This window comes from Homo sapiens, chromosome 16 (genome assembly GCF_000001405.40).
Source record: "Homo sapiens chromosome 16, GRCh38.p14 Primary Assembly".
Classification (NCBI taxonomy): Eukaryota; Metazoa; Chordata; class Mammalia; order Primates; family Hominidae; genus Homo; species Homo sapiens.
Window position 1 is genome coordinate 78,969,377 of NC_000016.10, and position 21,593 is coordinate 78,990,969.

Consider the following 21,593-nt stretch of genomic DNA (forward strand, 5'->3'; position numbering starts at 1 on the left):
CTCGTGCCTCAGCCTCCCGAGTAGCTGGGATTACAGGGGCACATGCCACCATGCCCAGCTAATTTTGTATTTCTAGTACAGACAGGGTTTCACCGTGTTGGCCAGGCTGGTCTCAAACTCCTGACCTCAAGTGATCCAACCGCCTCAGCCTCCCAAAGTGCTGGGATGACAGGTGTGAGCCACCACACCCAGCCACTCTCTTTCAACTAGAACAGTTCCTCTCTTCTTTGTTGCATATTTTTGTATTTCATGCAAGGTGCTGTTTATGAACAAGGGAGTTTCCTGCAGCTTTAATAAAGAAGAGAAAAGAAAAGAAAGAAAGGAAAATTCGCATGTTGAAAACATTGTACTAATCAAAAAAGCCAGTCACAAAGGACCCTATGTTATATGATTTCATTTACATGAAATACCCCAAAGAGGCAAATCTGCAGAAACAGAAAGTAGAGTGGTTGCCAGGGGCTGGGGATGGGGCGTGGATGGAGGCATTTGGGATTAACAGCTAAAGATAGCAGGATTCCTTCTAAAGCAATAAAAATGTTGTAAAGTTGATTGTGGAAATTCTTTCACAACTCTTTGATTGTACTAAAACTTTGAACACTTTAAATGGGTGAATTGTATGGTATATGAATCATATCTCAACAAAGCTGTTAAAAAATTGTATGAAAACTGTGATGGGATTCAAGTAGTCTAACGCTCAAATTTCCCAAGTGCCCTCATTTAAGTCTGGACCACGACAGGAACCCAGATGTGGCCTGAGTAGCACATCGTGGAATGGGCCTGTCACCTCTACCCCACACATCCTCCTGCTGTTAATGCCCCCTTTGAAAGCCATTAGCTCTTTTGATAACCACAGCACGGTGTTGGCTCTCAGTTAGAGACTCAGATTTATCCCTGCCCGAATCATTTTCTTTGATTCTCTGCCCTTCCCCACTACAGTGTAAACTCCATTTGGACTTTCTCTAGTTCACTGTGAATGGTTTTTGAATAACATCAATTAGCATAACCTCATGCCCAGCATCGTCCTTATTGTTGAGAGCACAGCAGTGACAAAGGTGCAACTCTTGCTCTTGAGCGATCACAGTTTATTTGGGGAACCTGGTACTACCTAATAAAACCAGGGGAGACTCGACCCAAGGCATTGTGTTTGAGCTAGGCTTTGAACAATGTATAGACCCTCACCAAGTATGGAAGTGGAAGAGTAAGACATTCAAGGTAGAAGGAACAGTATGAGGAAAGTCAGAGAGCTAACAAAGATTATAGTGTAATGCCAGAATCATGAGAAATTTGCTGAGAATTCATTTGAGGCCATAATTTAAAAAGATAGGAGGAGCCATGTGTAGAACTTTCACAGAACAGTGTGTACCTCCCCTCCTTCTTCCTTATTAGTCGTGATTCTTGGGGGGCAACTAAACCCAGCTTTTGGCAAAAGGGAGTATGTTGGTTCATGTACCAGGAAGTCTTGGAGTGATGGCTTCAGGCACGGCTGGATCCAGGGGCTCAAAAATATAATCAGATGATTTGTTTGCTTCTGTCTTTTGCTATGGTGGTCTCTGTTTTGCTTACTTCTGCAGCAGATTTTCTCTACCTGGTGGGAGAAACAGCTGCCAGAAAATCCAGATTCCCATTCTCATGCTAGCTTCATAACAGCAGGAGAGCTCCTCACTCTGTTTCCCAGGGTGTATATATATATGTATACATATGTATATGTATATCAATATATATATCAGGTAAGATTCTAGTCCAGTGTGAGCCATATGCTTTATTCCTGAGCAATCGCTGTGGTCAAGAGATAGACTTTTTAGGGCCGGGCACGGTGGCCTACACCTGTAATCCCAGCACTTTGAGAGGCTGAGGCGGGAAGATCACTTGTTGAGGTCAGGAGTTCGAGACCAGCCTGGCCAACATGGTGAAATCCCATCTCTACTAAAAATACAAAAATTAGGTGGCAGGCACTTGTAATCCCAGCTACTCAGAAGGCTGAGGCGGGAGAATCTGTTGAGTCCGGGAGGCGGAGGTTGCAGTGAGCCAAGGTCACGCCACTGCTCTCCAGTCTGGGTGACAGACTCTGTGTCAAAAAAAAAAAAAAAAAAAAAAAAAAGAGAGAGATAGGCTGTTTAACAGGTGTCGTAGGTCATGTATCTACAGCCATGGAAAGAGAATGGAGCACTCTAATGGATCCCTGACGGGTCAAATGGAGCAAAGTGTGCTTCCCAGAAGAGCATAAGAAAAAGGAAGGGTACTGGGTGGACCAAATCTATTGTTACAATATCCCTTATATTCCTTAGGGTTCCTTTTTTTCAAGTTAAAGCATTGAGTCATGTCTCTGATAAATCGCCCCCCCACCCCGATCCCCACCCTCTGCCGCCCTGGCCTTCTTTTTGTGCTGTTGGGTTCCAAACTTTACCTGAGGATTTTCACATGCACATCTGTTAAATGCCATTTAAAGAGAACACTAACAAGAGAAAGCTAGTTCATTTTTCTTCCTGGGACCTCAGTTTCCTCATCAGCAGAATCGGGATATTAGTGCAGACCTTGCAGGCTCTTTATGAGGATCCATCGGGAGCCTCAGGCGCACACTCGGGGAGCATTGGAGCTCTTCCCAGGCCGAGGTAGGAGTTTGTCCACCTGCTGTTTACTCCGAAACTTCTTGCTCCACCTGTCACTTTAGAAGACCCTGATCTGCCGGAAGGTCTCCCCGTATACCCAGCAGCCCAGACCTCTCAGGAAAGAGCAGGCTGTCGTCCTGCATTGGAGGAGGAAGCTTGGGGCAGGTGGCAGAGCAACTTCATTTCCAGATGAAACTGGGCTCCCTGGCCATCAGCTGCCGTGCTTGGAGGGGCGTTCAGACAAAGAGCCAAATTTAAATTCATGTAATGTTGCTGTTTGTAACATTGAATACTTAAGACATCTGCTCAGAGTCTCGCATTATAAATGAATGGAAAGGATCCAGGAGGGCTTTATTGGATGGGAGCCGTGAAGTGAGCGCCGTGTATTTCAAAGCAGGATCTTAATCAGACATTATTTATATCTATAATATTTTACAAATTAAAAGCAGTAGAAATAGTCACTGGAAGGAAGTCAGCAAGCAGGGGTGAAAAAAAAAAAAAATAAAAGAACCTGAAGCCGCCAAGAGAGGCTCACTGACCATCTCTGGGGGAGGGAGGGTGAAGAGTAGCAAATTTACCGTCATCAGCAGGTGTGTAAATGTTCCATTTACATTGAATGGCACATGTCATAAAGTACATACCGCTGCACATCCCACCCTCTGTTTCTGTTTCAACTGCAGAGCCTATTTTTCTTTCCCTTCCAGCTCAGCTGCCTTCTCCTCCCTGACCTCAGGTCACCCAAGACTCCCACTTTATTATTTCCTTTTACTTTTAGTTCATTATTCTCTGTGATTCAGTGGAAACATAAAAAATGGTTTTTAATTTTAATTAATGGCAAACTTAGAACAGACCCATTTAATAAATCTGTCCTCTGAACTTAACACGTCTCCCCGCCTTGTAAGGGCTGCCTGTCATTTTATTAGCGCTGGAGCCTCCCGACCGAAGGGCTGAGTAATTGACAAAAACTGCAGGTAAGGCAAGAGGCCCGTAATTGATTCATAAGATCCCTTCCTCCGATCGCATTGAAGAGTTAATTATTTTTCCTGCAGTTGGGACTCAGCTGTTGTTTCCCCTGGGATTAAACAGCTGTCAGCATTGTTAATGACATCAAATTCATGCATTAAAATCCTCTCATTCCCTTCCCGTATAAGGTGGGGTTGCGGAAATCTCTGCCACGTCCGCCTTTATGAAGGAGTGAAATCCTAAGAAAGATAAAGGCCCTTATTACAAAACCACAGACCGGAGCTTGTGTTGATGGAATCTCGTAATGAGTAATTAAGCCGCTTTGCAGAAGTCCGGGCTGTCATCCTGGCGTTTGGGTACTTATGTTCCCTAGTGGAGACAGCCGGGTAGACTGGGGAAGGTGATAAAAGGGAGAAAAATAGAACTGTTCTAGAACGATCTCCACTTTTAACAGCACAATACAGAGAACAGAGCTACTCAATAATTAGCCAACCAAGTATGAATTCTCATATGTTCTTAAAGTATCTGCTGATTTCTTCAAACATCTCTAACAACATGTCTGATGAATACGAAGCCTCCCTTTATTTATTTATTTTCTTTTTGCTTTCTTTTTTTGGGGGCAGGGGGCACAGTTTTTCTTTCTGTCTCAGTCTCTCAAACTGTAGGAGGACCAACTTCAGGGTTTTATTTTGTTTGCTTTGCTTTGCCTTGTCTGGTTTTTCAAAGTGCTCTTTTAACAAATGAAAGTTTAAAGCTTGAGTTCAATTTGAGTAATTTGTTCCCAGAGAAAAAGTAAATGAAAAGTATTTCTGGGTATTTTTAATGACACAAGTTTCTGTGCTGATATGCGGGCAGGGGTTCGGGAGTGGGGGCACCAGGGCTCATGAGCCGAGAGCCCCTGCTTCCCTTGGAAAACGGAAATTTCTATCTCCAACTAGGGAAAAATTTGCATGTGTAGAATTTTGGTTTTTTCTTCGGCGTGTTTATTTAATTTAACATTACCTATCCTACGATTATTTCAAGGTGATTTTATTACTAGTCAGCTTTCTTTTCCCTAGCACAAAACTCATGCAACATTTATGTTGAATGTTTAAAATTCTTTTCTAAATGGTTTCACCTTTCTGAAAAAATCTTGCATTCAAAAAGTGTAAAGGACTCTCCTCATTTCTGCGCTTGAAAGTGCAGTGTGATTTCACAAATCAAACAATATCAGGAAAATTCAATCTCGTTAATACTTTTGGAGGGAAAAGAAGGCAAGCGTACTCTTCAGAGAACGGATTCTTTTGGATTTGTGTTAGAGAAAAACTGTCTCTAATGACCGCACAGCACAAAGCAAAGCAGTTAAATGAATAACCGCCTTCCAGTACAGATAATAAAGCAGGGGAATTTTGTGTGTCACATCAATAAACATCTTAATTGAACAGTACGTGGGTTCTTCCCTAGTACCTGCCTTGCTATACACTAGCCTTGGAAAGAGTCTTGGTAAATTGTTCAGCCTCAAGTTCCACAACAAAATGGGATTCTGTTTTCTAGAACCTGGCCTAGTTATGATGTGATGAATCCGTCTCTGTTAAGGTTATCAACTTTAATAAACCATGTATTATTTCCTTAAATATTGTGCAATGTGCAGGGAATTATTTCAGTTTTGTTTTTTATTTAGCACAAACCTAAATATTACACGTAGCAAATGTCACCCGATGCAACTGTCTGTCCTGAAGAGGAGGACAGATTATTCTGTGGCTACCTAATGGTGTTTACAGAGTTGCCACTTTGCCAAACCCCAAGACCCACACTTGGTCTCTGGTGTTGGGTCCGCCAGCTCTCCACCCTTCAGAATGGGATGTTTAGGGCGTAATCTTCTGAGACCCACAACCTAAGCCGGGAAGCAGAGGCAATTTATTACCCCAGCTTCCTGTCCACTGGAGGCCCGGGGAGACCTTGAAATGCTCAGCTGCAAGTCAGGGTCCACCGATGCAGCCTCGGAATTTAATGAGGCCTCTCCGGACCCAAAGGGAGATGGACATTTCTAGGCTTGTGGAAGGGACTCCCCAGCCCCTCTTCTCTCCTGGTGAGACCGTTGTTGGATGTGAAAAGGCCTTCACTATTGTCAAGGCTGGGCCCCTGCTTTTGCCTTGTTACTCTGCATTTTAACTCTGGACCAGAATTGATTGCCACCAATAAAAGATACTCCAGTCCTTAAAAAGTCAACATTGTTATGTTTTACTTAGTTATGACTTAGTGAACACCTATACGAATTAGCCTCATCTGGTTCAAGGGTTCTCAGATGGGACCACTTTTGCACCCAGGGAAGGTGTGGCAATGTCTAGAGACATTTTTGATTGTCATAACTTAGGATGAGGTAATAGTGTGCTCCTGATTTCTGGGGGTAGAGGCCGGGGATAGTGGTTAACATCCTACATGAACAGGGCAGACCCTTGCAACAAAATCTTACGTGGTCCTGGATGAAAATAACACTGGAGGTAAGAAACCTTGGCCTAGAGGGTTCCCCAACCTTTTTTTTTTTTTCATTATGGCCCCCTCCCCCAGGAGCCTTTTGAGATACGACTTTCCTAATGGTCTTTGCCCATGAAATCTGAATACCACAGATGTGCTGAATGCCTGTTCATGTACCATATACACATGGTATATGCCTCGTAAATGAAAGGGTGAACAGTGTTTATTCCCCAACTGTCGTCCCTCAAAACCAATGTTAACACCCCTGGATGTATTGTCACCCCTGTTGGGAATACACCGCTCAGAGAAGGGTTTTGTCCATAGGCAACACAGAGCCAATTGAGGCCTTTGGGCAAGCGGAGGTCATGATGGAATTCAGCCTTTCAGACAATTCTGCCAGGCCCTTGGAGGGTGGGAGGAAACAGGCAAGACCTCTGGCTCCTAGAACCGTAAGGACCCTTGCCATTAGGACCAAACCTCTTCCAGCTTTCTCAGCAGCCACATGTCACCCCCTCTTCCACCCTTTGCCCTGCCACCCTCCATCCCCTGATACCCTCCTGCCTTTTAGTTGCCGGTGCTTGGAAACCTTTGCAAAGTCTTTTTATGGAGATGCCATGTCCTTTCAATGGTGCGTTTAGCCAGCGCCCCGCTCTGGGCTCCAGCAACATTAGGGCATTGTTATTCCATCCGAATGACAATTTCAAGCTCACGTCTTTGTTGTCCATCCTCGAATATCCTGCACCGTTCCTGGCACAGAGTAGGCACTGGATAATTATTTCTTGGATGAAAGAATGAACAAATGAATGAATGAATGAAAGTTTTTTTCCTTGCAAATCTCCCTGCACACTTTAATCTTACCAGCATCTTGTGAAACACTCCTACTTCTTTCTGATCTTTATTTCTTACGTAGTTTTGAAATGAGAACCGATGAAGCTGCTTTTGCTCATGGTACCTCAGGTCCTCGCTCACTCCCAGCACTCAGGGCTGTGTGGTCAGAGTCTCAGATTCGGAGCATGTGATGTGCGTGGGCCTGTGACTAACAGCCACATGGCACGCAATGGTGGCAGCCTGGGAGGCTGACTGAGCAAGTAATTTCTGCTTAAGCAAGAACGTGAGGGGTGATGTAGTTGCATGCACTTTGCCATCATAGCTTGATCTAGGTCTCAGCCTGGGATCTTGCAGCTGCGAAAAGCATGGCGTTGCGTTTCCAAGCCTGAACATCCACACCCGCGAAGATAAGACCATCTCTTGGATTAATGTGACGCTGAAATAAAATAATCCAAAGAGAAAATGCCTGAGACCCACCAGGAGCTCACCAGATACTACTTCTATCTTCCCCACTCTAGGTCTTTTTACTGCAACTACCGTTTAAAATACTTTTTCCATGAGGCAGATCTTAGTGCTGACAGTGTCAGTGTCTTTAATGCCTGGTTCAGTTGCAAACATGGAGGGCAGAGGTTTGATAGCATCCAAAGTATGCACGCCGCACTCCACCTCCCATGCCCTTTTCTTTTTCTCAGGGCCATCAGAAAGGAAGTAACTGGCTTAGATTTGACACCTCTTTTTTTGTTCGTTTTATGTTTTTGAATCTAGCATGTATAAGCTCATCAGAGAGCTTTCCCCTGGCCTGGGACAATCAGGTTTCAACTGAGGCTCACGCACACGTCAACACAGGAACCTTTTTGATGCCTCCAGGCAATTTCCTACAAGCTCTAATATCTTCCTCTTTACTCCCATATGTGGTATCTCTGGTACCCTATATATCATTCACTCAAGTGTTTGTTTTGAACCACTTATTTTGGCAAGACTTCTTCAGACAGGAGAGCCCTGAGAGCTCTTCAAAGGCTGGGCCTGATGGTGTTTGTCAGAGAGGTTCGAGCTCTTAAATTTAAATGGCCTCCCACAGGGAAGCAGAAGTCCTTTTGGATCCTCCAGAGGCCTGAGATCCTCCAGATCCTGTTCATTTGCCTTATTCGTTATGACCATAGAAGTTTGTGGGGTGGCACTCTTTATTCTGTCCTCGCCCCACAAGCAAAGCACACACCAGAAGCTATAAGGAGATGAGCTCAGTAGGCCTGTCCTTTACTTTATTTTCCCTATTAGAATCCCACCATAGACGCCCTCTCTGCATGTGTCCTTGTCTGGGGGAGTCGCTTAATTTCCTTTTTCTTTGAGGGGCTATAAAATTTTTGTTGTTACAAAAATGAAAGGGGAGAGGAGATAGAAGAAGGAAAACAGTGAAAGCTCAGCCTCGAAAGAAGTGCTTAAAGGAAAGGAGGTTCTGACAGAGGGCTCGGATCATCAGCAGGGGCAGGGGGTGCAGGGGGTGCCTGCAAGTCTGTGACCGTCCTGAAGGACCCCCTTCCTAGGATCCCAAACATGCACTCCCATCCCAGCCTCACACCAAGCTCCCATCTGGGAAGCAGCAGACACACATAAAAGCAAGGAAACTTCAAGGACGCTTTTTGTTTTCCCCTACTTTTAAAAAATTGAGGTGAAATTCACATAATATAAGATTAACCATTTCAAAGTAGACAGTTCAATAGCAGTACATTCACAATGGTGTGTAAATACCGCATCTATTTCCAAAATATTTGTATCTCCCCACAATAAAAGTCTGTACCAATTAAGCAGCTACTACCCATTCCTCTTCCCTACCATTCTACCTTCTGTCTCAGTAGGTTTGCTTATTTGGGATATTTTATTTAAGTGGGATCATACAATAGCATCATGTGTTCAAGGTTGACCCACATTGTGGCATGTATCAGTACTTCATTCCCTTTTATCACTGAATAGTATTCCACTGTATATTGATACCACAGTTGGTTGACCCATTCATCCATCCATGGGCATTTGGGTTATTTCCACCTTTTTGCTCTTGTGAATCCATGCTGCTGTGAATAATTGCATATGAGTATTTGGGTTCCTGTTTTTAATTATGTTGGGTATATACCTAGGAGTGGAAGTGCTGGGTCACGCAGTAATTCTTTTTAACTTTTTGGGGAAATATCAAACCGTTTTCCACAGTGGCTGCACCATGTTGCATTCCCACCAGCGAAGTGCAGGGGTTCCAGTTTCTCACACTGTCACCAACTCTGTCAGTCTATTCTGGCACTGCTATAAAGAAATGCCTGAGACTGGGTAATGGCTGAAGAAAAGAGGTTTAATTGGCTCATGATTCTGCAGGCTGCACAGGAAGCATAGAAGCTTCTGCTACTGGGGGCGCCTCAGGAAACTTATAATCATGGCAGAAGGTAAAGGGGAAGCAGGCACATCTTACATCGCCAGAGCAGGAGCAACAGAGAGCGACTGGGGAGGCGCTACACACTTTTCAACCACCGAATCGCATGAGAACTCTCTCACTGGGACAACACCAAGGAGATACTGCTAAATCATTTATGAAGGGTTCATCCTCATGACTCAGTCACCTCCCACCAGGCCCCACCTCCAACACTGGGGATTACAATTCAACATGAGATTTCGGCGGGGACACAGATCCAAACCTTATCACCAGCGCTTGTTATTTCTTCAGGTACATTTTGATGTCCCTCCCCACTTTACTCTCCCCTACACCTTGAAGCAGGTGCAATCATTTTAGGCTATGAGGACCAGCATCGACCTTCATCAGCATCTGCTCTCCTTTACGGCCAGGTCTCCTTCGTCCTCCCTGCTCAGAATTTCAGTCTTTTTTTTTTTTTTTCCCTATACAGACACAGGAAGTATATATTTTCCTCTCGAATATCACTTGGGTCTTATCTTGTTTTATGCTACATGCATGTGGCTTCCCCCGTTACAAAAAGAATTCACATTATTAGAGAACATTTGGAAAACATACAGAAGTAAAACAAGCCATCCCCATTCCCACCTCCCAGAGATAACGCCTGTGTTTTAGTTCATCTCCTTCTAACCTTTATAGTTTTTTTTCTATCATATTAGTTAGGCATTGGTTTGGCTCCAAGTGAAAACTGCTTCTGTTATTAACATCAGCAGCAGCAACAAGAAGAGAGAAGTTTATGTCTGTCTCGGAATACGTACGTGACAGGCTCCCCCATCGAGGTGCTCAGATATGGTGGCCACTGCATGATTTTGCTCAGGACTGAATTAGAGGCAGGTGAAAGGCCCTCACTCCCTGGAATCAGCTAGCGATGGCTAAGGCTCCTGTGACGGTTTCTACAGAGGTTCCACCCAGAGAGGAGAGTCAAATGGGAGTTTCTACCGATGCTCTTGAAAGGATCTTGTTACTCAGATGTCTCTAAGACAATGATCAGTACCCATCTCTCAGAGCCTGTGTAGCCGTCCATGCTTGAGGCATGAGATGCTGAAGATAAAGGTCCCCAGTGGTCCAGGTTTTTCCTTCTCAGCTTGGAAAGCAGCAGGAAAACTGCACTGCATTTATCCAAAGGGTGTGATTGGTAAGTGTGGGTAGTGATATAGAATAAATCAACGTGGCTGGGTGCAGTGGCTCACGTCTATAATCCCATTACTTTGGGAGGCCAAGGTGGGTGGATCACAAGGTCAGGAGATTGAGACCATCCTGGCTAACATGGTGAAACCCCATCTCTACTAAAAATACAAAAAATTAGCTGGGTGTGTTGGTGGGCACCTGTACTTCCAGCTGCTTGGGAAGCTGAGGCAGGAGAATCACTTGAACTCAGAAGGCCAAGGTTGTAGTAAGCTGAGATTGCACCACTGCACTGCAGCCTTGGCAACAGAGCGAGACTCCATCTCAAATCAATCAACCAGTCAATGTGTGCCCCCTTTTCCTCCAACTCCCACCCCAAATCCTTGCTGAATCATACCTATCCTTCACCTTTATAAGCATCTAGTTTTTAAATCTTTGCTGTGAAGTTGGCTGTGTGAGCTCCATTTGACAGATGGAAAAACTAAGGTAGTTTGCCAAAGATGGCTCTTTGCCTTCAGGATTTCCATGTCTTTATTTTGAGTAAACACTTGCACTGCTAATTTTATTCCAACAATGTCCTTGGAATGGTTTTAGTTCTCTTGGCTGTAACCAAGTCTACACGATACCACTTGAATTGACAACATCACAGTCAAACCTCAATTTTCACAATTAATTGTGCCGCAGTTAATTAAATTGACTGCCTGGCAATCCAGTCTCAATTAAAATACTAATAGTTTATTTATTTATTTTGTCTTTTACGAAGCGTTTTCTTTTACCATCTCTCAGGATCCTATGTAGGTATCCTGATGGTAAGAATGATAATACCATGACTGATTATTCCATAGTTGCAGGAACCCCACATGGCATTTCAAATCACAATCAGAACTTTGACCTTGAAAGGGGACCCGGATCAGCTCCATTCTCCCAAGGAGACTTTAGCTACTACCTTTCTTACTTTTTGAATAAGTATTTTGCAGGGCTTATTTTCATCATCTGGAAAGGAGGAATAGATAGGGTTATCTTGAAAGTCCTCTCTTGGAAGGGATTATGGTTCTGTAATCCTGTAGGACTGGACTCAGTGGGTAAATGTAGAGGTGATGGTATCTCCGTTTTTATTGTCTTCAGAAATGTTGAGATCGAGTGATATAAAGTCACAGGGTTGGCCCCACAGTTTAGTTCTTGGCTTATGTAGAAATCTGTGCTAAGAAGCGCTGTGTTGCGTCATCATGGGGCATTTTTGTATGTCATGCAGTCATACTTTGCAGACCCCTGGGAGCCTCATTCGAGTTCTTCCTGTGGAGTCCCATGCCTTGGTGTTGAACCAGTGTCCTAGCTGGGAGGACCGTTGTACTGCAGCACTTTCCTAAACTCTGCATGTGGTCTCCATGATGTCCTGGCTGTGTTAGCATCAGAAATGGCTTTGCCCACATCTCCCAACTCTGCCCTCTTATTAGGATTTCTCTGCGCTGGCTGATGCCTGAGCCATCTAATGATCTTTACGGGAATAACCAAAAATGCTGGGTGGGGGGGGAAAACGCCAGCAGATCTCTTTAGGGCAGAGTAGGGAGGGACACGGACAATGTGGGCAGCTGTCCATGCAGCACGTATCACATCCAGGATGATGTTTATATGAAGCATCATTTTTTTTTTTTTTTAGGTGGAGTCTTGCTCTGTCATCCAGGCTGGCATGCAGTGGCACAATCTGGGCTCACTGCAACCTCCACTTTCCGGGTTCAGGTGATTCTCCTGCCTCAGCCTCCCAAGTAGCTGGGAGTAAAGGCACATGCCACCATGCCCAGCTAATTTTTGTATTTTTGTTAGAGATGGGGTGGCCAGGCTGGTCTTGAACTGCTGACTTCGAGTGATCCACCGGCCTTGGCCTCACAAAGTGCTGGGATTACAGGTGTGAGACATTGTGCCCAGCTTGGAGCATCTTAATTTAAGCCCTCTACATCCCTGCACGGTAGATACAACCAGCTCCGTTTCCAAGGACGAGGAGCAACAGAGTGAGGTCATTTCCCTGAGTTACACTGAAGATGGTCTAATTTCAAAGTCCTTCCTGTGTCCACTTTGCCAGGTGCCCCCCGAAAAGCAAGAAGACTCCTTCAAGCATCCTGAAGATTTGGATGCTACAACTGTATGTCCTGCTGGAGAGACCCTCCCAGAACATTGAAGGCTCCAGTGTTTTGACTGGCAGAATCTCAGTTTCAACATCTGTCTCTAAGGGCTCTGGACCTATGCTGGGTGAAACGTGTTGTCTGTAGGATTTGGCCCATCTGAGCCTCACTGGGGATGGGCTAAACTCCGTGGGGTTTGTATTCCTTCTCCTTCATTGCTCAGAGGAAAAGAAGAAAAAAAATAAAAAGAAACGACCCCAAACAGCCTCTTTCGTGCACACACGCCTAAGAAATAGGAACATGAATTTGCATTCCTTCCAACTGGTGTGTTTCCAAAATACAGACAGGCAAGTTTGAATCACTTTGACTTTGAAAGCGTGATTTTGAGCAATCATCTGGGGAAAAAAATACCTCCTCTTCACTAAATAAGTCTGTCAAAAAGAGTCATAGTACAGCGTGCCATTGCCAGAATACACGTGTGTGCTGGTAAGCTGGCCCCAACCAATTAAATAGTGAAATGTCGACTGCATTCAGGCCCTTCCTGGTCTGCAGACAGACTTGTGTTAGTTCATTTTCATAGTGGTGTGTATGTATCTTTAGACTTTAACTGACAGATTCCCACAGTGAGTAGAGTAGGGAGTTATCAATTACATGGTTAGCTAGGCGCTGCTATTGTATGCTCTATGGCTTCTTGACAGGAGCAGGCAGAGAAGGAGGGAAGGACTAATATTTCTGGTGCAGGAGGACTGTTAATATTTTAGACCGGGCTCCTCAAACATGTATGCTTATTTAGTGAGGAGAAAATGTGCATTTGAATCCTGCAAACCCTCGAGAAGTTTGCATTAATAAATAGTGATTACCAGAATATTCTCTTCTAAAATATATTTTATTTATCAAATGAATACCCTTCTGAGCCCCTCTTTATCCTTCCTGTGATGGCTAAACTAATTTCATCAAATTTTGATTTCTGTGTGGTGATGTTGTGAACAGTGCCTGAAATAATAAAATTACCCTGAGCAGATTGCATATAAAACTGTTTGCAATGGGAGAAGCAGTCTTTGGGGCTGTGGTTTCCTTTGGCTGCAGTGTAATATATTCCTTTGTTTCTTTTGTGAAGTATTTATTGTGGGTCTCCTGTAGTCTGAGTTTCTTGTGGAAGTGGGCTTGTGTTTTGCTTTTGTAGACTGACACTGAGAATAGCATCCAAACATCTTTTTCCCACCAAGGCATCAAACTCCATCGTTAGGAATTCCTTCATAGAATCAAAGAATCAGAAAGAGCTGAAACATAGACCACGGACACTCAAATTGTTTATCCTGAAATGAATGGGAAAACCTAAGCTGAAGAAAGGAAGTGTCTGGCCAAGAAGCTGGCGGGAGAGTAGAATCAGGAACCAGGGCCTCCTCGTATCTGGTCTCACGCTTCTTCCGTGGTGTTCTTTCTTAAGTTGAGCATTGCATTCTCCTTGGATAGGATGGATATTTTCCTGGGAAGGATGATACATGATGTATTTATCCATAAAACTGAACAGGTGTTATGTGTGCCTTTTCTAATAGGAAAGACCATCATGCTATGAAAAGAGAGGAAGGGGAGAAGAAATGGGGTACGTTAAGATCTCAGAATGAGTTGTGGGGCTAAATGTTCAGCCTGTCTCCCTTTTCTCCTTGCCACACCACTAGATTATATTTTCTAGACTCTCCTGGTGTTAGATTTGGCCTTGTGACTTCCAGCCAATGGAATCGGCTGCAGGATGAAACTAGTCTTGATCCCTGAATGACTGCGTGGAGCACATCTCCTTCTGGTCAATAAGGCATTTCAGGAGTGAGAGATAAACTTCTATTGTGTTAAACCCCTGTGACTTTGAGACATATCTCCTACAGCAGGTGGAGTTAGCTTAACTAATGCAGAACGATAGGACTGGTGAAGCAGTCCATCTGTTATGAGAGCTATTCTTTTTTTTTTTTTTTTTTTTTTTGTGAGATGGAGTCTTGCTCTGTTACCCAGGCTGGAGTGCAGTGGCGCAGTCTCAGCTGACTGCAAGCTCTGCATCCCAGGTTCACGCTATTCTCCTGCCTCAGCCTCCCGAGTAGCTGGGACTACAGGCGCCTGCCACCATGCCCGGCTATTTTTTTTGTATTTTTAGTAGAGACAGGGTTTCACTGTCTTAGCCAGGATGGTCTCGATCTCCTGACCTCGTGATCTGCCCGCCTTGGCCTCCCAAAGTGCTGGCATTACAGGCATGAGCCATCGCGCCCGGCCAGAGGGCTATTCTTTGTCTTTTATTTGCTTTGAGTCCGGTATAACCATGTGGCACATACCCCTGTACATGTTTGCCAAGACTGCTATATGGCAGAGCTTGGAATTCTTAGGAGCTTTATCAGGTAATTGCAAGTCCCCCACCTCCAAGAAAGCACTCTCTAGGTCAAGAATCAGCAAATGTTTTCTATAGAGGCCCGTAAAATTAATATTTTATACTTTGTGGGTCATATAGTCTCTGTTTCAATTACCCAACTCTGCTGTTGTAGTGCAAAAGCAGCTGTAGACAGTAAGTGAATGGATGGGTGTGGCCGTGTGCCAATAAAACTTTATTTACAAAAACAGGCAGCAGGCCAGAATTAGCCCTGTGGGATGACTCACATGAGCAGAGAGTTCTGGCATCAACTTTGTTCGGAGAGATACTGACATACTTCTACTCAAGTAAGTCAATGTTTCTGTCTCAACTGGTTGATTGGAACAACATACAAACTGACCCTTAGGAACCTTCTACCAAAAATATCCTGTGAATCTTCATACTTTTGTAATACCGTTTAGTTAGAAGTGGTCAGACTTTCTTCGTCCTCTTTTCGTGATTTCCTCTGTGGTGTCTGTGGATCGATACCGGCAGCTCAGGTAAGGAACGTGTGCAGGGGATGTAACAGAAAGGAGAAAGACGAGGAAGAAGGGTGCATGGAGCGTGCAGGGGAAGAACTGATTCTTTTTTCAGTTAATCGGCTCATCAAGGTTCTGGTGTTGAAGTCTGATTTCATTTGCCATGTTAAGAGGATATGGACAGATACTGGGCAAAAGGAAAAAAAAAATATTGGATCCTTGCCCAGCTCCAAGTGTTGCTGAGTCCCTTGCCCCCTCCACCCCGCTCTGTCAGGAGCCAAGCTCTGGCCGCCCAGTTTTTGGACTTTGTAACTGTTTCCGAACGGATCAGATTCCATCTGAATTGCAGATGGCTTTAGCCCCAGCAGCAGAGGCTGCCATGACATCGGCATGCGATTTCTTCCAGGACTTAACTCTGGAGAGAGCTCCATTTCCTGTTGATCATGAGGGTTTTACAGGCACAAACGCTGTCTTCTGTCACTCTGTCACAGTGCATTATGTCAGAATAGAGGAAGCAGTTCAGCCCGTAAATCTGTGCCACCGGCACGCAGGGTGTTGTGTTGTCTCCAATGTGCCTTGTCAACACCACAGGGCTAATAGCAGTGTCAGGGTCCCCGTGCCATGAATCACTTCACATCTCTGGCTAGTACAGATCTCTCCCTGTCACTAGTGGAAGTCGCCTGCACTACATTCAGAATAGGGGCCAGGCGCGGTGGCTCACGCTGTAATCCCAGAACGTTGGGAGGCCAAGGTGGGAGGATCACTTGAAGTCAGGAGTTTCAGACCAGCCTGACAAACATGGTGAAACCCAGTCTCTACTAAAAATACAAAAATTAGCTGTGCATAGTGGTGCATGCCTGTAGTCCCAGCTACTCAGGAGGCTGAGGCAGGAGAATTGCTTGAATCCAAGAGATGGAGGTTGCAGTGAGCCAAGGTCGTGCCACTGCACTCCAGCCTGGGCAAAAGAGTGAGACTCCATCTGAAAAAGAAAAAAAGAATAGGCACAGACAATTTACCTGGATCCTCACATTGCAATGCTGACCACTCCGGAAGGAGTGTAGAAGTTGCAGCTCATGCCTGCATTCCAAATGGCTGCCTTCTGCAGTCCCGTCAGCCAGGATCCCTCTCATACAAACACCTTGACTGGCCGAGAAATGCAGATGCTGTGTCAAAAGTTCATGGCTCAGAGCCAACAATGCACTGTGCTGACCTCCAATTTTCCTTGAGGAGGGGCATCCCAGGGTCAGAATTTTATGCAATGCAAGCTTGTCCACGATGGCATGGGAGCGTGTGGGAATGTCAAGATGAACCGGGGCTCCGGGAGACATTTATGGAGTCAGGAGCACACATACATTCCTGGTTCTGTCAGCATTTCCCTAGGCGAGATGAGTCACACATTTATATTTTTACATATGCAGCGCGCTTGCAATTTTCCACTGGGGATGATAGAAAAACTTATTGAAAATAGTTAATCAGTTTTACAAAGATGCCATAGGTAGAGGTGCTTCCAGACCTATAGTTTTGAAAGTCACCTAGAGGATACCAGTCTGACTCAGAGCTTTATGAAGGCATATTCCTAATATCCTCCCTGTGCTCCACGAAGAACAATTGGTTTGGACATGAACTGGTTTCCATTTTTAGACTCCAGGCCCACAGTATTCTAAGTAGGTTGGGGCTGTGCTGATTGTACCACTCTTTGGATTTTAGTGGATTTTCTTTTTAGGATTTCATGTAAGTAACCTGTGCAGAGAGTGAGGATAAATAAGAACAAGAATGACAAACCGATAGGCTACTTGACATCATTCCTTAATTCCAGGTCACTGGCGGACATCACTCATTCATCAGTACTCTGTTTTTCTCCCAAGAATGGATCTGACTCTTGAATTCTCTTTAATAGAGTGTTCTGGGAGGCTGTTACCAATTGACCAGGGTTGATGCACATGTTGAAACATCTTTGCCATTTCTTGATAGCTTCAGAAGAGATTTTAAAGTACTATTATTTTGATGTTGTTAGCTTTCAAAGATTAATTCCACAGAGATTTTTGGGCATCTTTTTGATAATACACATTATGCTTGACTTGGGAGTTTCAGGATGCGCAAGAGACTCCTTTTGACTGCAAGGACTCAGTAAAACAAAGTATTTCAAGGTCATGCTACAAAAAGTCCCACCAAGAGCATGGTCAGGAGGTACAGTGCACTTACCCACACGGAGCAGAGAGGGATCAGAGGAGGCTGGCTGGGGAAATGATCCTAGGGCTTTCTTAAAGGACACAGCGCCATGGTTATTTAAGTACAGCTTTTAAGGAGAACTAACTTGCCACTTTGATAGCAGTATAGGACTCCAATATTTCTCATTTGTAATTTTCAGAAGCACACGGGAGGTCTTTGAAATTTAATGTCTCCCTGCATCACAAACCAAAAGACGAGTCAGTTTATAAGTAGGCTGTGCTTATTAACTCAGTCCTGGCTTTATTGATTGCTTTAGGTTCCATGATCTTTGGCATGTGAGTGGTTTTGCTTTGTTTTGACAATGATCTTTTTGTACCTTGTATCGGGTAGGTTGGAATGTGTTTGAAAATTTAAGAATATTTTCCTAGCAAAGGCAGGATTTTTCAAGTTTGTTCATGCTGGAGCTCCTGCCACGTATTTTGTCCTTTTTTCTTTTTTCTAGCAACTCTCGAGAGGATGAGACAAATGGATTGTGAAACTGGAAGGAGGGTTTCTCATTTTTTAATCCATTGTTTTAGTGAGAGTTTAAAGCTTTCCTATAAAATATGTGGGTTGAGAAAAATTGGAAAAGACCTCTTCAAGGACTTTCCTCTATGCTCCCTCATGTTTCAAGTGGCTTTTTTGCATGATGGTGCATATGTCTTTGTTTCTGTACAGGGCCCTCCATGTTCAGAGGCAGAGTAACGTGAATTCATTTCGCGCTAATGAGAGTTGCGATATGTCGGCCCAAACTCTCTGTGTCCTTTTCTTCTTGGGCTGATGAACTTGTCAACTTTTAAAAAATGTGCTCTCCAAAAATTTCCAGCAGGACTTTCCCACCTTGCTGTTTAAACAGTGAATCAGCCCTGTGGGCTTTGCTGCTTACAACATGATTCCGGTGAAACCACAGGTCTCGTCATGTCCCTTCTGTATCCATGGTAGTCCCAGTGGGAAAGAGGTAACAAACCCAAATTGAGTAATTTCAAGAAATTTTAATAACAAAGGGGCTATTTTATAAAGGGGGGGTGGTCAAGGTGTAGGGAAACATAAAAGAGAGCGAATTTCTGGTCTGGTGCTGTGGGTCACGCCTGTAATACCAGCAGTTTGGGAGGCCGAGGCTGGTGGATCACCTGAGGTCAGGAGTTTGAGACCAGTCTGGCCAACATGGTGAAACCCCGTCTCTACTAAAAATACAAAAACTTAGCTGGGCATGGTGACAGGCATCTGTAATCTCAGCTCCTCGGGAGGCTGAGGCTGGAGAATCACTTGAACCCGGGAGGCAGAGGTTGCAGTGAGCCAAGATCACGCTATTGCACTCCAGCCCAGGCAACAAGAGCAAAACTCTGTCTCAAAAAAAATAAAAAAAAAAAAAAAAGAAAGAAAATTAATTTCTCAGAGGTAGTAATAGGGGTGGCTGTCACCATCCTTGGCCAAGGAGAGGGAGCAGATACTGGAGACAGTTGAAGGTGCCAGGATGGAGAAGACTCCTTGGAAGGAGCTGTAACCTTTGGTTGAGGAATTCAGCCTACCACTGGTAATACTCCCTCTCCCCAGGAGAGGTCCCAGCGGAATAAACATCCCCGCCCCTTCAACTCTTTGCCATTGTTCAAGCCCTGCTAGAAACCAGATGGCAAAAGGAAGTTACTGATGTGTTCATATTGGTCAACTTTTTCAGGCACGAAGACCAGTACAGAAGGATGGAAAGTGCATTTGGGTAGGGAAATGGGAGATTCCTGCATAGCTGTCAAGTTAGTTTCTTCCCAGAGAGAAAGACCGGTGGCTGTAGTCTGTGCCCCACTCCCAGCCTGTCCTTTCTCAGCCGTGGCTTGTGTGCATCCCTGGGGCCAGCATGTTGCTGCGAGCCCCAATCGATCAGTGGAGAAACGAGCTCTGGTGGGCAGTCAGGCAAAGCAGATACACGTGCTTCTTTTCAGCTTTGTTGGAAGGTTTCATTTTGCTTCAGGAACTAGGCAGGAGAATTCCTGAGTTCCTGTACAACCTGAGTTCTCTGTTAAAACAAGGAGGAAGTAATCATCCTGAGTTCGATGATTCAGAGTAAGCCATTTAACTTGTAGAGCTTTGGGACTAACAATGATCCCTTTTTGGAGTCCTTAATTACTAAAATTATCAGCATATTTAGAGTTCTGAAGATGCTGAACCCTTATTGTATCTCCCCAGGGTTAGTGAGTAATTGGGAATAGTGTTCCATCTTGGATGCCCCCATCCACTAACCATCTTTCCTCTTCGGGTGGTTCTAAGAATTCTAATTCAATTAGAAGGCCTTCTTTTTAGTTTGATTAGTTCAATATCAAGAGCTAAATACATTAGCTTATATATATGTCTGATGAACTCATCTTTGCTTCCTTGGATCCCCAAGATAGAATGGCCCTGATGCAGTCAAACCACCCTGCAGAATCTTAACAGCACCACAAATATTGCATCCAGGCATCCTGCCCATGCTGGCTTGCAGGCTGGGGATCCCTGTCCATAGCGCCCATGGCTCCACCACCAGTCAAAGGTAGTGGGGCCAGCAGTGGACTCCTGTGTGGTTCAGCTCTCAAAAATGTGAACTGAAAGACACAGAAAAAGACTTGTGTTTGGGGATAAATACTGAGACTGAGCAGTCTTGTGGATTCAGGAATTGGGCATCCAGTTGGGACCCTTTGCAAGAAGGGTGTTAGGGAGCAGAGAGCATGAGTAAGCCAGAAGCAGAGCAGGAGAGAGAATGGAGCAGGTGTGCAAAGAGGGCGGTGAGATGCTGAGAGTAATGGGGCTGGCCCAGGAGGAAGTGAGAGGAAGCAAAGTGAGACAGAGGTGGTGTGTGAGCGTGTGTGTGTGTGTGTGTGTGTGTGTGTGTGTGTGATTGAGAGAGAGAGAGACAGATGGAGGGAAAGAGAGGCGGGGGATTCCAGGTACAGTGGCTCATGTCTGTAATTCTAGCACTTTGGGAGGCCGGGGCGAGCAAATTGCTTGAACTCACGAGTTCGAGGCTAGCCTGGGCAACACGGCAAAGCCCTCATCTCTACAAAAAATACAAAAATTAGCTGGGCTTGGTGACAGACGCTTGTAGTCTCAGCTACTCGGGAGGCTGAAGTGGGAGGATCTTTAGAGCCCAGGAAGTCTAGGCTGCAGTGAGCCATGACCTTGCCACTGCACACCAGCCTGGGTGACAGAGGGAGACCTTGTCTCACCAAAAAAAAAAAAAAAAGAGAGAGAGGTTGAGCTCAACTGATCAGCATCTCAGATTAAGGGCCTCCATTCCCCCCATGCTTTGTAATTGCTGCCTGTTTTCCATGAAGCCTGACTGTGCATTGGTTCTAAGTCATGGGCTCTGCAAGATCCTCCTTGTGCCTTGAGAAGGGCCCTGTCCGCAGCCTGAGGAGCCTCAACTGTTCTCTGCACGACCTAGTTCTGGGCTAGGGAATGGCTGTCTAGCTTCAGTGGATTTCCAGAGTCCGGAGCTACTAAAGGTCAACAGCTGTGTTACTGCAAACTCTGTGGCCTGCATTCTATCAATGCCAAAATGCACATCACACTGACAACAGCTCTTTGTTTACACCGGGGAGCCCCCAAAGCCCCAGGGTAATTCCATCACCACCCAAGTTGTAAGATGGTAGAGCGAACAGGCCAGAATGTGATAAAGTAAAATGAAAGAAGAAAAAGGAGGAAGGAAAAAGAGAGAGGGAGAAGCACATAGAGGAAAGAAGGAAGAAGGAAGGAGGAAGGAGGGAGGGAGGGAGACAGGGAAGGAAGGAAGTCTGGCAAGAGGGCACAGTCAGACCTGCCAGGATCCCTCTGCTGTCTTAATCAAGCTTTGCCTCAGTCTTTCTGGACTGAATTTGTCTCTGTGTTCACTTGGCATTTTTTAAAAGGAGACAAAACAGGTGATGAACACAGCATGAGTGATTTTTCCCTTAAGAGAGAGGTGTCATGCTGAGAAAGAAGAACCGACCTCCAGGGGAGCTTGTCTTCAGA

The 21,593-nt window shown here is 44.9% G+C and overlaps 1 protein-coding gene across 2 annotated transcripts in view, besides 2 other annotated features; it reads left to right on the forward strand.

Annotated features, from left to right (window-relative positions):
* The window catches only part of WWOX (WW domain containing oxidoreductase), a 1,113,014-nt gene that overhangs the window by 869,723 nt on the left and 221,698 nt on the right, over nt 1–21,593 (forward strand). The gene's annotated exons all lie outside the window — the stretch shown is intronic.
* Nucleotides 6,514–7,713: an enhancer, noted in NCBI's record as "BRD4-independent group 4 enhancer chr16:79009787-79010986 (GRCh37/hg19 assembly coordinates)". NCBI's record gives its function as "activates an origin of replication core promoter dependent on BRD2, P300/CBP, MED14 and CDK7 cofactors, and independent of BRD4, by STARR-seq in HCT116 cells {active_cell/tissue: HCT116}" and the evidence as "EXISTENCE:reporter gene assay evidence [ECO:0000049][PMID:35650434]".
* Nucleotides 15,536–15,830: a silencer, noted in NCBI's record as "tiled region #10194; K562 Repressive non-DNase unmatched - State 21:Repr". NCBI's record gives its function as "represses a minimal TATA promoter and a strong SV40 promoter by Sharpr-MPRA in K562 cells {active_cell/tissue: K562}" and the evidence as "EXISTENCE:reporter gene assay evidence [ECO:0000049][PMID:27701403]".